This window comes from Homo sapiens, chromosome 9 (genome assembly GCF_000001405.40).
Source record: "Homo sapiens chromosome 9, GRCh38.p14 Primary Assembly".
Lineage (NCBI taxonomy): Eukaryota > Metazoa > Chordata > Mammalia > Primates > Hominidae > Homo > Homo sapiens.
In genome coordinates, this window is record NC_000009.12 from 6,225,138 (window position 1) to 6,242,008 (window position 16,871).

General features: G+C 38.5%; 1 protein-coding gene and 1 long non-coding RNA gene across 15 annotated transcripts in view; one reads left to right on the forward strand and one right to left on the reverse strand.

The window, feature by feature from the left end:
* IL33 (interleukin 33) overlaps positions 1 to 16,871 on the forward strand; it is a 42,835-nt gene that overhangs the window by 9,989 nt on the left and 15,975 nt on the right. For 9 of the 14 annotated variants that reach the window (XM_047424060.1, XM_047424063.1, NM_001314044.2 and 6 more), the window contains one exon: positions 16,547 to 16,648. In XM_047424060.1, coding sequence (XP_047280016.1) covers positions 16,558 to 16,648 — 91 coding nt within the window. In that variant the 5' untranslated portion in view covers positions 16,547 to 16,557. Of the gene's footprint in view, positions 1 to 11,923; positions 12,006 to 16,546; positions 16,649 to 16,871 lie in introns of those variants that run through there. The other 5 variants (XM_047424062.1, XM_017015285.2, XM_047424061.1 and 2 more) reach the window with 3 other exon arrangements.
* Positions 3,095 to 16,871, reverse strand: part of LOC107987046 (uncharacterized) — a 100,037-nt gene continuing 86,260 nt past the window's right edge. The window contains exon 3 of the long non-coding RNA XR_001746614.2: positions 3,095 to 3,158. This is a non-coding gene — a long non-coding RNA (uncharacterized LOC107987046). The remainder of the gene's footprint in view (positions 3,159 to 16,871) is intronic.

Here is a 16,871-nt window from a genome sequence, read left to right on the forward strand (position 1 = left end):
CTAGAAGGAAACAAATCAAGACTGCATCCTCTTACCCCCATCCAAAAAATGTGAGCAGTTTCATTGGTTCCTGGTGATGGGATATTGCCCTGTGTAACAATTATTCAAACAATTATTAAATTCTATACATGAAACATAAGGAATCACCAAAAAGTTCCATGATAAACTGAAACTCTACTTTTCTTCACATTTTATTTTTCTTTGTTGTTGCTGAATAAAGAAATGGCAGCAGGATAGAGGGAAGAGCAGTCACAACTATTGCTCTGTGAGTTGAGAGACCTGAGTTCTGGTCCTGGCTCCACCACATACCCATTTACTAGCTGTGTGACCTTGGGGAAGACCCTCCGCCGGCTCTGAGTGGCACTTTCCTCATCTGTAAAATAAGGAGTTTTAGGCCACCTCTGCAGTTTTTAATAATGCTCAGTTGACTGCAAGAAGCATCTTGGTTCTGCAAATATCAAATGTTTATTTCACAAGTTCTAGGGCTACTCTAAGACTGTAAACTTCCATCCATATTGGACGGGTGATTTTTTTCCTCCTCCAAATAGTTTTATTGTCCTCAATGACTGACATTACAATCTTCTCTTTTCTCTTTCCTTTTGAAACAAGGTCTCACTCTGTCACCCAGGGGCTAGAGTGCAGTGATGTGATCACAGCTAACTATAGCCTGGACCTCCCTAGCTCAAGCGACCCTCCTACCTCATCCACCTGAGTAACTGGGACCATAGGCACATACCACCATGCACAGCTAATTTTTCTTTTTTACGTTTTGTAGAGATGAAGGCTCATTATGATGCCCTGGCTGATCTCACTTTTTTTCTTTAATATTCTGCAATTTCATAACTAATATATGAAGATGTGGATTTTTCTTCTCTCTCTCTCTTTTTAGAGACAAGCTCTTGCTCTGTAACCCAGGCTAGAGTGCAGTGACATAATCCTAACTCACTGCGGCCTCAAACTCCTGGGCTCAAGCAATCCTCCCACCTCAGCCTCCCCACCAGCTGGGACTACAGGTGTGTGCCACCACACCCAGCTAATTTTTTTAATTATTTTTTTTTAAGAGATGGGGCCTCGCTATGTTGCCCAGGCTAGTCTTAAAACTCCTGGTCTCAAGAGATCATCCCACCTCAGCTTCCAAAAGTGCTGGGACTATAAGGCTTGAGCCACCACCCCCAGCCCTTTCTTTCTTTCTATCTGCTTGAAATTCATTGAAACTCTTGGATCTAAGGATTAGGATCTTTCAACAATTCTGGAATGTTGTCAGCCATTATTTCTTTAAATGTTGTTCCATCTCTGTTCTAGCATCTCCTTCTACCATTCCAAATAGTTATAAAACAGTCTCATTTTTCTTCCAAGTCTTTTACCCTCTTTTCATATTTTCCACCTCCAAGTATCTCTGGATTGTATTCTAAGGAATACTTCAGATATGTTCTCTAGGTCACTGACTCTTTTCACTTGTGTTTAATCTTCTGTTTAATTGAACCATTGAGTTTTAATTTCAGTAATATATCTTTTATGTCTAGATATTCTATTTGGATCTTTTTCAAATATACATGTTCACTGTTCATATTTTCAATCTTTTAGAATACTATCTAACAATATTAAAATCAGTTATTTCTGCTTGTTCTAATACACAAAGGCTTTGTGGCTTTCTGCTACCTGTTCCTTTTGTGGGTTCTCACCATGGTGTCTGGTATTCTCGTTTGCTTTGCAAATTTTGACTGCAGACTACTCATTTGTCCTGAAGACTTTTCTGTGGGAATGTTTGGTGGTTTGTGTAGCAGCTGAGTTCTTCAAGATAAGACTTGTATTTGCCTTGGGGCACTGCCAACCTAAAACTACTTTATACTTAATTTTCTATTTCAGGCTTTTGGAAGCACACAAGTAGTTTGATTTCAGACTACAAAGCCATGTAGGGGCTGACTTGTCCTGAGAAGGTAAATTCTTAGAGATATGTGTTTCCTTCCAGCAAGGGCTGGAGTTGAGACAGACAAGGTTTCTGGGTATTCCCTTCTGCCGAGTTTATTTATCTTGATCACCCTTCTATTGTGAATGTAGCCCTTTGAGAGTCCAGGTTTATGCAGCAGTTTACTGTTAGACTCTCCATCTTAGACATATCCTAAGCTTTATCTCCTGGTCCTGATTCTTTATGTAATTCTTCCTCTTTGTCTCTAGGATATAGTAGACAACTTTAGAAAAAAGCCAAGTTTGCTAGCCTCCCATTCATGCCCCCTCAATGTTGTTTGAAAAGATATTTAAAAATACATCTTGCAGCATTTTGGTTGTTTTTATCAGGAGGGCTGTTCATGGTAACTAACCCATTATTATGCTGGAAACAGCATATTTCATTAAATAACTTTATAATGAGTAAATATAAATGTAAACTTATGAAGCATATTTATATTAATAAGTTAATGATTTTGTCTTCTGTTATCTATTAGGCTTCCATGCAATATTCTTTTTTCAGAAAAGGATTCTACTCTTTACAAAGTTTTGAAAACTTCTTCCAACCATTAAGTGTAATGCTTTCTCCTTATAATGCTACTAAATCTTCTCTAGCTTGACTACCACTGATGGTATATGAACTGAGCCTCAGTCTATCACCCTCCTTACAAGGTCAAATAATTCAGGTGGAATGGGCCTAATGACATATTTTCAAACTTTTAATTTTGTTTTCTTACCAGTAAAACCTCTTCTACCTAGAAAACTTTCTAGGTAGGGGTTTTCTGCTCTGGATGCAGGGGCTAGGGAGGAAGATCTGGAATGCAACGGATTTGGATTCCTCCACCCCTTTCCTGAAGTACCTCATGAACTCTGAAAATGTTCGCTTAGGGTTTCAGCTATGAGGCCTTGGGCATTTACTTGATCCCTCTGTACCTCAGTTTCCTCATATATAAAAGAGGGATAATAATAATGCTACCCTAACAAGATTGCTGTAATAATTGAATAAGTTAAATATGTGAAGCACTTAGTACAGTTCTTGGCACATAGTAAACACTATATAAGGGCTAATTGTAAAAAATACAGGAGAGCTAGGCATGGTGGCTCATACCTCTAATCCAAGCACTTTGGGTGACCAAGGCAGGAGGATCACTTGAGGCCAGGAGTTCAAGGTTGCAATCAGCTGTGCACTTCAGTCCTGGTTACAGACCAAGACTCTGTCTCAAATAAAAAACAAAAACAAAAAAAGGAGAATTTTTATTTAACTCTACATGCTTTTGCTAAGTATTTCATACTCCTTTGAATTTTTACAAGATTCAGAATTTTTACATTACTTGTCCAATTTTATGTAAAATGCATTTAAAAAGTAAAAGAAGAAAATGATCTCAACTTTAGAGTTAAACTAAAACCAAAGGTCTCTATGTTCCATGTTGTTTTTTTTTTTCCATACATTGCTTTCTTCTAGCAGTGAGAACTTTCTGAATCCATTAAACAACAGCCAGGCATGGTGGCTCACACCTGTAATCCCAGTGCTCTGGGAAGCCAAGGTGGAAGGATCACTTGAGGCCAGGAGTTCGAGACCAGCCTGGGCAACAAAGCGAGACCCTGTCTCTACAAAAATAAAAATTTAGCCGAGTGTGGTGGCACACACCTGTATTCCTAGCTACTTGAAGACTGAGGCAGGAAGATCCCTTGAACCTAGGAGTTCAGTGAGGCAATGATCATGCCACTGCCCTCCAGCCTAGGTGACAGAGCAAAACACTGACTCAAAAAAAAAAAAAATCAGCTTTCAGATATTTGGGTACTAAAGAAAAAAACAAGTAAAAACAAAAAACCAAAAAATGCTGCAGACTCTGTGGACTTTTCTTTTCACTGTAATTTTGTCCTGCTGTAAGGTTAGTAGAAAGGAGAAGAGGAGATCACAAGGCTGAGGCAGAATTTGTGTGTTTTCTGAGGATGGTACCCTTTGTGTGAATAAGGGGCTAGTGCAGCTGCCAGTATAGAAGGGGCCCTGGGAGAAGGAAATAAATGAGCTAAATGAGGAACCTGTACAGGAGCACAGGAAAGAGTCAAGGAGGAAAATGCTGGCTTTCACATACCCTCCTTGTTTTGAAGACAAGGAAACTGAGACCTGGAGAGCTGTAGGGACTTGAGGGAAAGGAGAAAATCCTAGGTCTAAGCTTGGGAAGGGGATGCCAATCTACCTTTGCTTCTTCAAAGATTACTACAGACTTGATCCACTGGGGCCCTCAAAGTATGTGAGGCATGGGAGGGGGCCCAGGAGGGGAATAAAACAACTTGTACTGAATAATTTGAAATGTTCAGTCACACTAAAACTGCAGAGCCACAGGCCAGCTGGAAAGTCAGCTTTTAAAAATGCTTTACAAAGAGCACTGACCCAAGAACAAGAAGACGTGCGTTCTATTAGACTGAGGCATTTAAGACTGTCATTTCTGTAAGTCAAAATGGTGAAGTAGTGCCAGCTTCATAACAGCTCAACCAGGGAATCTACCTCCACTGCTCTGCAGATCTTTGGGATTTGGGTAGGGTCCCCACATCTGTCTAGTGGATGATGCCTGCCTTACTTAGTTTATAGGGTTTCTGTAAGCACTGATCCAAATTACACAACATTTACTGAGTGCCTGCTGTGGATAATTTCTGGGGAAATAAAGATGACTAAAGCACAACCCTTGTTCCCAAGGACCTAGCAGTGGAGGAGGTAGGAAAACAAACAGAGTTGGATCTATTATTATATATATAATAGATAAGGAAGGGAGAGAGGAAACAATAAAGTCGGCTTGATTGTGGGTTGTCAGGGAGATCAAAACATTTGAATTGGCCTCCAATGGTTAAACAGAGTTTCCCAGACAAAGGGATGAGGTAGCACTAGCAAGAGGAATAGTTTGAGCAAAGCCATGAAGGTGTGCAAGTGCATGGTGAATTGAGGAATGGTAAACAGTCTAATTGGTCTAAATGTAGAGAGTATGGAGGGAGGGGTAAGTAAGGTTGGAAAAGTTGATGGGGCAGGTAGTGCCAATGTATAGAAATGACTGGATAAGACCACATCCAGGAAAACCATGGCAAAGCACAGAAGTACTTTACAAGTGATAAGTACTGTTTACCTTAAAGACATAAAACAAAGCTTCCCTAAAATCTCACACTATCCCTCCCTCTTCTCACGAGGGCTTTGGCTTGAGTCATAGATTGATCTACTAGGTATCTTTATAGAGTATTTCCTTTCCCTAGGAGAAGTGTTCTCCCCAGGGTCCAGGAAAGTGGCAGATGGAAACTTTCAGAGTGGTGGAGGGTAGGGGACAGGAAGTGATCCAGATTGGGTGAGGAAGGTGCTGTCTCATTATTCCCCAAACTTCTATCTTCCCTTTTTCCATATCATGTATTCTAATCTCCCTTAAGAAAGAAGTGAAACTGCTACACCCAAGGGAGTAGAGGATTGGTGTGTCACACTCCCCTGTGCTCCCATCCCCCGCTTCTCCTCCACTTCTGCCCCTTTGCAAAATCTCCCAGAATGAAGTCATATTGTGTTGGCAAACTTAGTCATAATCCCCATTTCCTCTCCTTATCAGCCAGGACCTGTCTTCTTCCACTGATTCCACTGGTATTGCTTCCAGTACCCAGCAATATGTTCATTCATCCCACTATATCCTCATAGATCCTCTTCCCATTCAAGAGAAACCAAGCTTGACAAGGAGATGAATCAAATATAAGGTCCTGGGATTCAATTATGCCCCATTCTACCAATGTTCTCCATGAACTAAGAGAAAGAGCCAGATAGCCCTAATATCAGATTCTGGCTTTGCTACTTCTTACCTATGTGACGTTTTGCAAGAGCCACTATTTCTTCACTTCTAAAAGGGAGACAATCATATCCAAACTCCAGAAACACAGTGACATTAGAGATAATATACATAGAGCATCAGTCTTACAGAAGACGCCAAACATTGCAGCTACTACTATCATCATTATCATCTTCACCACAACCACCATTATTAAGCATCTGAATTAATGCAGACTCCTGGCTGGTCTCATCCCTTCCCTCTTATTGCCCTCCATCTGTTTCTCACATGATAGTCACAGCACTAGTTTAAAAATAAAAATCAAATCACATCCCATGTTACTCAAAACCCTTCTTTGGCTTCTCAATGCACTCTGAATGAAATCCAAGCTTCTTCCTTTGGCCTCCAGGGCCCAGCCCAACCAAGCTTCTGTCCCCTTCTCTCTACAGCCCCTTCACATTATGCTCTCCCCATTGCCCGCTCTGCTCCAGCCACACTAGCACTCTCTGTTCACTGAGCACTGCGGCTTCTGTCCATCTCAGGGCCTTTGCCCCTGAGGTTTTCTCTTCCCTGTGTCTCTTCCCTTTCATATGTTCCTCACGCCCTTTGGGTGCAGTTTAAATGTCACCTTCTCTGACTACACTACCTTAGTACCATTCTACTTTATCTTCTTTACCAGTCCAATTCTTTTTTATCACTGTTCATTAATAACATATTTGTACAACTATGTGAATAACTTCTATCTCCCCAATAGAAAGTAAACTCCAGGAGGGCAAGACAGTTTGCTTTGTTCAGTACTGTATCCCCAGCACCTAGCCCAGTACTAGAAGTAGTATTTTATTTATTAATGTTTTTAGGCAGCACTCCATGCTGTAGTACAAGCAAATGCAAATCCAGCATCATTTGTGCCCTCAGGATCTCGAGGAGGTTAGGATTTCCTTACAATCATTCCCAGTTGTGTCTCTTTTCAGAGAATTTACTCTCTAGGACATCAAAGGTCAAACTTTCTCTTTTCTGTATTATCTAAATTTTCCACAATGAGTATGCATTTTTAGTAAGAATTTCTCATAAACTCAGCATTGTAACAAGACTCATCACAGCAAATCAGTCTGATTAAATGAATTTATTTTGAAAGTAAAATTCACAATAAAAGAAGAAAGTCCAACAGCCAACTTAACATTCTTAAAGGTATTAGCATTTAAAAGTGGGAAATTGCTAATCAAAGAGCATTGTCTGACATATAAGAGGTTAGTGATTCAATAAATGATTTTCCAGCTGATCAGATGTAGATAATATGACAATGTGAAATGAAAACATTCATGCAGCACCCCATGAGTTAATGATGGTGGAATACATAGTCCTTGGCATGCAAAGGGTGCTCAATATTTGTTGGATGTAAGTTTCTGGAAGATTTCTTCAGCCAAAGAGAAAACTACGCAAATTTGCATCTTTGAAAATGAAAATACCTCATATATTTCTCACTGTTGTTGTTGTTCAGAGGTGAATGACCAACTAATAAATTTCTATTTAAATTATTTTATTTAATTATTATTTCTTGACAGATTAAAATCTTTCAGGTTGTTTCCCTAATTTAAATGTATGTCATTTCCTCTGGGATGTTCCCCACCCACACACAAGCATACTCCTTACTCTCTCCCTCCTTTTCCTTCAAAAGCACTATTTCCTATGATTATCTAAAATGTGACTTTCCCCTGGTGATGCCATATTCTTAAAACCCACTCCATTTTCTTGTGTGCACATTTCCCAGGGCTAGTAGAGAAAGCCTTTCTAACCCCATCCCCAACCCTGGGCCCAACTACTTAAACTAATCTCTTTCCTTTCTGGTCACTAGGGACCCTGACCTCCTTTTCTGTTCACTATTGCCTCTGCTGCTGTCACCCTTGGTGATTTCATTGCTGTTGTCACCCTTAGTGACTGCTTTGACTCTTTAACACTCCTCAGCAGTTCACCCAAAAAATCTCATTCTGACCACCATCATCATCAGAACATCTTTCTCTCTAAGATAAGGAACACTGGAATTCTTCTGTTTATGAACAAACTCCCATCTTTCTACTTCCTCCACTCCCATTTAAAAAATTCCTTTTTGAACCATTTTTTAAAATTGTGGTAAAACATACATAATATAAAATTTACCATTTTGACCATTTTTAAGTGTACGGTTCAGTGGCATTCACATTGTTGTACAACCATAACCACTCTCCATCTCCAGAACATTTTTTTCATCTTCCAAAACTGAAACTCTATGCTCACTGAACAATAACACCACATTCCAAAGTTAATTCTTTTTTATATTCTCTAAGGATCTGTTTCAGATTTTTCCCACTTATACTTAAAACTTCAAACCAATGCTTATTTCTCTTAATCTCCGTCTCTTTCAGAACCTACATTACAAAGATTGAAGCCATTTTATAAGACCCTTAAGTTCACATCCCTAGACCTTAAAACTTCACATCTTCTCTCATTCTCTCACTAGTTCCTCCTCTACTGCAGGAAGAAGTGTGCCTCCTCCTTTTCAAAGCTGATCCTTCCACTTGTGTTCTTTCCCCCTCTCTTCTGTATCTCCTCTGGAAATATTATGTAAGTTTTCCTCTTTTCATTGGCTACTTTCTTTCTGCATTGAAGCATACTCAAGAGTCTATCACATCCCAATATAAACCTCAATATTAATGACAATAATAATAACAAACATATTGAGTCTCTACTGTGCACCAGCTACTGTGCTAAGCGCTGAAAATATATCTTCTCATTTAATTCTCACAACAACCTAATGAGTTAAATTATGAAATTATTATGGGTAATATAACAGTTATTATGAAAATTTTCATTATTATTAAGAAACTGAGGCTTCAGAGACATCAAGCAACTTGTCCAAGGTCACCTAGCTAGTAAGTAGCATCTTCCCTTCTCCACACTACTGTGTAAAGATACCATTCTTTCTTTCTTTGTTCCCTTTCATTACTGTATTATACTTCTTGGAAATGTCTTACTTCCTCCTTCTCCACTCTGCGCAGTCCAGTGCAGTTGTTTTGAGATTCCCACCATACTTAAATGACTCCTCCAATGTCTCTTAATCTTCAACCAGGTCTCTATAGTACTCATTACCAACTGTTCCTGCTTTTTGAGACAGTGTTCTCTCTTAGCCTTCATAATATGAACTCTTCTTTTTTCTGCTTCTCTGTCTGGTCTTCTTATTAACTTCGTTTCTCCTCTTTCCCCTTACATGTTAGATATTCCAGAGTTTCATCTTCTTACAGCTTTCTCTTCCTGCTCCACACTCAGCCAAGACAATCTCATTCACTCCCACACAATAAACTATCATGCCTTCACAAATGAAGAGCAAATCCACATGGCTAAGTTTGGCCTCTGGCCACCTAGTTCCAACTCCCTGCTGAAATGTCCATATAACTGTTCCTCAAGTACCTCAAACTCCATCTGCCCTACATCAAACTAATTCCCTGTCCCTGTCACTGAACTCCCCACCTGAGTTTCCTATTATTAACCACTGGAATTATGTCCACTTCCCTTCACCACCCTGCTTCCCCTCATCCCCAGTCCAGAGCAGGTACACCCACATCCAGAAAGAGCCGAGGAGGCATTGTGGCAGACGTGCCCCTAAACTGGGAGTGAGACTTGGGTTTTAATCCTGACTCAGCCACTTGGTAACTGCATGACTTAGTGGTACAGAACAGGAATCTCTGGGGCCCTTACTCACACCAACCTGCAAGGACTCTATGAAGTACCTGTAGCACTCATCATTCCATCCCCTCCTCGTTAGTCCCATTAACATTGCCCTCACTAGGTCCTCACTGCTTTTTGCCTGGGATATTTTAACTGGCCTCCTAACTATTCATTCTTTTTGCCTCCGTCTCCTTCTTTCCTTCCTTCAGATGGTGCTTCACACAGACATAAAATTATATTCACAAAACACACTCTAGATGATGTTTCTCATTTGCTTTAGAAACTTTCAAAAGATTCGTGTTGTCCACAGGATAAAATTCAAACTCCTTATTGTAGCATTCATAGTCCTCTGCATACTGGTCCCAACATAACATGTGAAACTTCACTTTGTCTGAACTGAATTTCAAATGTAGTTGTGGTATGTATTTGGAAGGAAAAAAAAATCCCAAATGTATTCTTTTTTCACTATCTTTATTTTTTTCATTTTTGGTGACAAGAGTCTCACTCTGTGGTCCAGACTGGAGTATAGTGCTATCAGAGCTTACTACAACTTTAAACTTCTGGGCTCAGGTGATCCTCCCACCTCAGTCTCCCAAGTAGCTAAGACTGCACGTGCACACCACCCAGTCCAGCTAATTTTTAAAAATTTTTTCTGTAGAGACAGGATCTCTTTATGTTGCCTAGGCTGGTCTTGAACTCCTGGCCTCAAGTGGTCCTCCTGCTTAGGCCTCCCAATGCACTGGGATTACAGGCATGAGACACACACCCAGCCCTGACTTATTCTTTATACCAAAAGTAACACTGAGTCAATCAAAGATTTATGTATAAACTATTAAACATTAAAGTTTTAGATAATATCATAAGTAAATTTATTTATAATCTTGGAAGAGAAAAGGTATTTTGAAGCAGAACACAAAACCAGAAGTTCTCAAAGAAAACACTGATTATATTTTACCACATAATATTTGAAAACTTATGTATGGCCAAAAAATGCCATTAGTGAAATCTAAACATAAATGACACAGGGGAAAAAGTTGTAACACAAATCACAGACAAGGGTCTAATTTCTTAGTTTAGGTAGAGTCCTTAAAATCAATAATTTATAGAAATTAACAATACACATTTTTTAAAAGATGCTCAATCTCATGAAATAAAGGAATAAAATTCAAAACTATCAGATAGTTTACACTCTTTAGAAAGGCAAACATTTCAAAGGTAATGACACTCATTGTTGCTAGAAAGATGGAGAAAAGGGTACTCCCCTGGATTGTTCACAAAACTGTTAATTAATACAAGTTTTTGGAAGTCAATTCATTAATATCTGTCAAGCTATAAGATACATGTACCCTCTGATCCAGCAATTCCACTACTAGGAGTTTATGCTACCAATAAACTTATAAATATTTTCAAAGAATCACAACATACACCCACACCCACCCACACCCATACACACACACACACACACACACACACACACACACACACACAACTGTCAGTTGCAACACTGGCAATATTAGAAAACAAAAACAAAAATAAAATCTGGAAACAGCCAGTGTTAATCAATAAAAGACTCGTTAAGATATATTTCTATGATTGAATGCTATTTATAATGTTACTTGTAAAAGAATGTTTCTAATATGTGAAAATATTTATGATATAGTGTTAATTGGAAAATGCAAAAAAAAGCTTAAAATATATTTGCAGTATGATTCTATTTTTTAAATAAAAGAGATGTGTATAATTTTTTACATAGAAAAAAGAATGTCAGGATCTACCACGCATACACTTTCCTGTCATTTACATATTTTCTAAGTGCACATGTATCTTTTTTATAATCAGAAAAAAATTACTTTAAATGTTTTCAACTTTCTGTAGAAAAGAGAAAGGAAATTAAACAATCTGTGTCCTTCTATATTATATGTTATGCAATAAACACTGCCTAGAGCCTATATTGCAAAGATTTTATAAAAGTTAATGATTAACTAAGTGTAACTCTTTGACAGTGCTACAACTAGGCCGGGTGCAGTGGCTCACGCCTGTAATCCCAGCACTTTGGGAGGCTGAGGCAGGAGGATCACTTGCGGTCAGGAGTTCAGGACCAGCCTGGCCAACATGGTGAAACCCCATCTCTATAAAAATACAAAAAAAATTGGCCAGGTGTGGTGGCATACACCTTGTAGTCCCAGCTACTTGGGAGGCTGAGACAGAAGAATTGCTTTAATCTGGGAGGTGGAGGCTGCAGTGAGCTGAGATCGTGCCACTGCACTCCAGCCTGGGCAGCAGAGGGAGACTCTGTCTCAAAAAATAAATAAATAAATAAAATGAAAGTGCTACAGCTAAAATAATCTCTGTTTAGGATCTGACGGTAGGAAAAAGATAAGCTCCCACACGTTCTAATGCATTTAAGTAGCTCCATCTGCATTGCCTCATACATCAATACTGTCATCCAATGTTGCTTAATCCATGTGTGTGTGTGTCTATATAAGTAGAACTGGGATGTAACTGCCTTAAATACTACAATTGCTGACTACAGGAAACCTCATCATCTGAGACCAGCACTTTATAAATTAGGTGAGTATCATAACCAGTGTGCAGGGATATCTGCTGTATATCATTGGGAATAGCAGCAAAAAAGAACAAGTGATGTTCCTATTGCCATATGTTCTGAAATATTTCTGATATAAAAATAGGGGAGTAATGAGTCAATTTTAGTATGAAAAAAATGGTGAAAAGAGTGATCAAGGCAAAGAATTTGCAGGTTATTTGAAGAAAATACTTTTTCAGAATAGGATTTGAAAATATTTCCTGACTATGCTTTTGACTTATCATGTGGTTCTATAAAGGGTGTTGACTTTCTCTGTGTCAATGACTCCATTGTAAATGTGGTATTTTCAGCTTCTCTATCTTGCTCAATTATACAAGCCAATACTGGTTTACAGCAAAGTTCTTCCAAGTGCGTTCTCTCAAACTAGTCCATGAGGGTGATAAGACGGGAGAAAAAGGTTATGAGATCAAATAACTACTGAAAACAATAGTTAAACAAAGGTACCCATGAGTCTTCAATAAAGGACTATCAACACCTTTTCTATGCTAACATGACTCTGACTCTCCTAGAGATAGAATGTAGATTGGAACATTTCCCATATTTATTTGAAAATATAACTTTTTGTTAAAATATTCTAAGATTATTAAAAAAAGTAACTTTTTTGAATGACCAGGAATTGTTTTTTCTAGGATATAAGTATCTTTGGGTAGAAGAGAAAACAAACAACGTCAAGGCAATGCAGTTTTTATGTTAGTAAAGTGTTACTTCATTATCTACTGTGTGCAGGTTACTATTTAAACTATTTTATATACAACTTAAAATACAACTACAATTGGGTTCCCTATCTTATTATTCCAAATGCGTGATTACAAATTAACAACCATATTCAGAAACTTATTATTTCAAAGAAGTTGGACAACTGCTTTGTGTATAAGAAAGGCTGAGTGTTTGGAGTTAAATTCCCAGTTCTGATTATTTTCTTCCTGTTTTGAGGCGGAAAGGGAGAAAGAATGGAGGGAGACAGGATAGGGAAGTACTGGCATCAAGATGGAAGTCAGGAGGCTAGATTCTGTTCCTGGTTCTGTTTCATAATCCTGGGTGAGGCACTTAATCTTCAGAGTTTCAGTCTACTCATCTGTAAAGTTAGGGGCTCAGTAAAATGATATGTAAGATCCTCTGCTTCTAAGCATTCTTGACCAAAAAAGGTAGGAGAATCAGAGGAAGAAAATAAAAGTTCATGTGAGGTCTTCAAGCTGTGTGAGCACAACATTTACTCCCATGGCAAGACTGAGGGACAGAATAGGTAGTCTTCAACTGGCTGACCATTGAGGATTTTGCACATGGGACTGGATGTAAATAGGTGGCATGCACATAATGTTATAGCAGTTCTACCTAGACAAGATCATCTGGAGTTTCAGCCTCCAGAGGTTTGTCCAGGGACAAAATAGGGTGCCTAAAGTTTACCTTCTAACGAGTCCTCTAATCCAAGAACTCAATGCTCTTCTTTTAACTGCTAGAAGAGATTATTCATATGAAGCTCATAAGAGATTTAAATTGTAACCACTGCTGGGATAATTTGGTTTGTTTGTTTGTTTGTAGTGTGGCAAAACAGGAGGCCATACTTAAAAAGAAGAAGCAATAATTATTGATAGAATTGCAGGCAATGTCAGAGAGTTTAAGACTGGAGAAGAAGTCCTGCTCCCTCCACAAACCACAGCACAGTGTCATACCCTGATGTCGAAGCCAGATTGCAGAACCATACTAAGAGAATATGGAATTTTCTGCAATTTATGATACAGAACTCCATATTTTTTCAGTACGATACAGTGACCCAGCTTGATCATCAAGGTATCACATCGATTGATGTCCCTTGCTTGAATCAAGTATTAAATTGGGGGTTGCAAGATGGTGATTTGTCTGATTCTGAGAGAGAAAGAACAAAGAAACCAGCTAGGCAAATAGGGCAAAGTCCTCGGCAGAACTGCTCTTCTAACAAAGAGCAGCCTGAGAGATCAAGCCGCAAACATAGAAAAGGAAGCAAGCTCCAGCACAAAAGAGTGCCTTCTGTGTAATCAGCAAATTTCAAATTTCATATACATTCAGTTGGCCTCAGTGAACACATTCCTTTCCTTTTTTGGTTATATTCAAATAAGGAAGCTTGCTCAGGAGGGCATGCTTGGAACATGCCTACAGCTACACAGATAAGGGGAGTTACACTGAGCTAGGCATGTCCACAATGGAGGATTCTATCCCCAACACGTGCACAGTAAGGGAAGTCAAACAACATGAAGTAACTTAGGCTACGAGCCCACATGCACACTGGAAGGACAGCGTGGGGGTTGTCAGAAATTCATGCCTTCTGCAAATGACACACCTAGTCCTAACCAGTTTTTCACACCTTATGTAAATAAAGTACCCCCTCCCCACTAGCTCATTTATAAAAACCCTTGTATTCCACTATAGAATAGCAACCCTTTTTCAGGGCCCCTCTCTGCAGCAGAGAGCTTTCTCTCCTTCTTTCATTTATTAAACTTCTGCTCTAACCTCACCCTTGGTGTGTCCACCTTCCTTGATTTCCTCAGTTGTGGGACCAAGAACTCCGGGTGGCATCCCAGACAATGAGGCCTATTTCAATGCTATCATTCCTTCTGTAATGACTAGACCCCTCCCTATTCAACTAGCCTCACTAGTTTTTTAGTGACTCTGCTTTCTGGCACAACAGGATGTTCCATGTTCACCACTACTTTACCAGCTCCAGATCTGGAGCAGCTGTTCCTTTCGGTGGAGAAAGTACTAAGAAACTAAGATATGGGCACACTGATATTGCTGACTCATATTTAACATTCCATAGGTTTTCTCATGACTTCTTTTATGTTTGTGTCTCCTTTCCCCTACAGTCAAAACCATGTAACATAATGTATCTACTTATTTGCTCTATACTAAAGTATAACAAAACAGTCTCAGAACTTCAGTACCAGTATTTCCACTATCTACAAAAAGAGTCCAACTTTGTAAAATAGTTGAAGAGATTTATTCTGAGCCAAATATGAGTGACCACGGCCTGTGACAAAGCCCTCAGGAGATCCTGAGAACATGTGCTCAAAGTGGTTGGTGTGCATTTTGGTTTTATGCATTTTAGGGAGACATGAGACTTCAATCAAATACATTTAAGAAATACATTCATTTGGTCCAGAAAGGTGGGATAACTTGAAGCGTGGGGTGGAGGGGTTCAGCTGGGAGATGGGTAAGGGATAAAAGACTACAGTCAACTGGGATCAATAAAAAGGAATGTCTGGGTTAAAATAAAGGATTGTGGAAACCAAAGTTCTTATTTGCAGAGGAAGCCTTCAGGTTGTAGGCTTCAGAGAGAATAGATTATAAAATGTCAATTCTAATACAGTGGTATTTGTGTATCTAAACATATCTAAACACAGAAAAAGTAAAGTAAAAATATGGTATGAAGATTTAAAAATGGTGCACTTGTATTGGGCAATTAACCATGAATGGAGCTTGCAGGACTGGAAAATGAGTCTAGGTGAGTTAATAAGTAGTGAGTGAATGTGAAGGCGTAGGTCGTTACTGACCACGACTATAGACTTCATGATCACTGTACACTTAGACTACACTAAATTTATTTAAAATTGTTTCCTTTTTCCATAATAAATTAACCTTGCTTACTATAACTTTTTTACTTTATAAACTTTTAGTTTTTTTAATGTTTTGACTCTTGTAATAACACTTAGCTTAAAATACAAACATCATACAGCTGTACAAAAATTTCTTCCTTTATATCCTTATTCTATAAGCTTTTTTCTATTTTAAACATTTTTAATTTTAATTTTTTACTTTTTACGCTTTTTCCTTAAAATCTAAGACACAAACACACACACCCTAGTCTAGGCCTACACAGGGTCAGGATCATTAATATCACTGTCTTTCACTTCCATATCTTGCCCTACTGGAAGTTCTTCAGGGGCAATAACATGCATGGAGCTGTCATTTCCTATAACAATGTCTTCCTCTGGAATACCTTTTTGACAGAACTGCCTGAGGCTGCTTTACAATTAACTTGTTTTTTAATAAGTAGAAGGAACACAATCTACAATAATGATAAAAAGTATAGTATAGCAAATACATAAACCAGTAACATAGTCATTTGTTACCAAGTATTATATACTATGCATGATTGTATGTGCTATACTTTTATACAACTGGCAGTGCAGTGGGTTGTTTACACCACCATCACCACAAACACGCAAGTAATGAATTGTTCTAGGATGTTATGATGGCTACAACAGCACTAGGTGATAAGAATTTATCAGCTCCACTATAATCTTGTGAGACCACCATTGTATATGTGCAATCCATTGACCAAAGCCTCATTATGCAGTGCAGAGTACCATATCCTAGCATGAATGCATAGTTAGAATACTACGTTCAAACTTTACTGAAATAATTATTTCCTCTATATGGTTATGTTACCAATTTGGTAGTGAGCTAGCCACAGTTGTTTCCGTTTGTTTTTAAGTTGAGACAAATGAACTAATATTATATTTTAATCCAACAGAATACTGAAAAATGAAGCCTAAAATGAAGTATTCAACCAACAAAATTTCCACAGCAAAGTGGAAGAACACAGCAAGCAAAGCCTTGTGTTTCAAGCTGGGAAGTAAGGACTTAAGTTATCTCTGAATGTTTTACGCACTATTTTTATCTGTTATCAAATATTTATACTCCAATGTTTATACATGCTATCTTATCAAAATCTACTAAGAATACAAGAACTAAAATAAAAAGAGATGGCACATAAGGGTATAATACAGCAGACTGGTTTTGAACCAACCATATATAGCCAACTTTGGCATATTTGATACATCACCAGGCAGGAATAG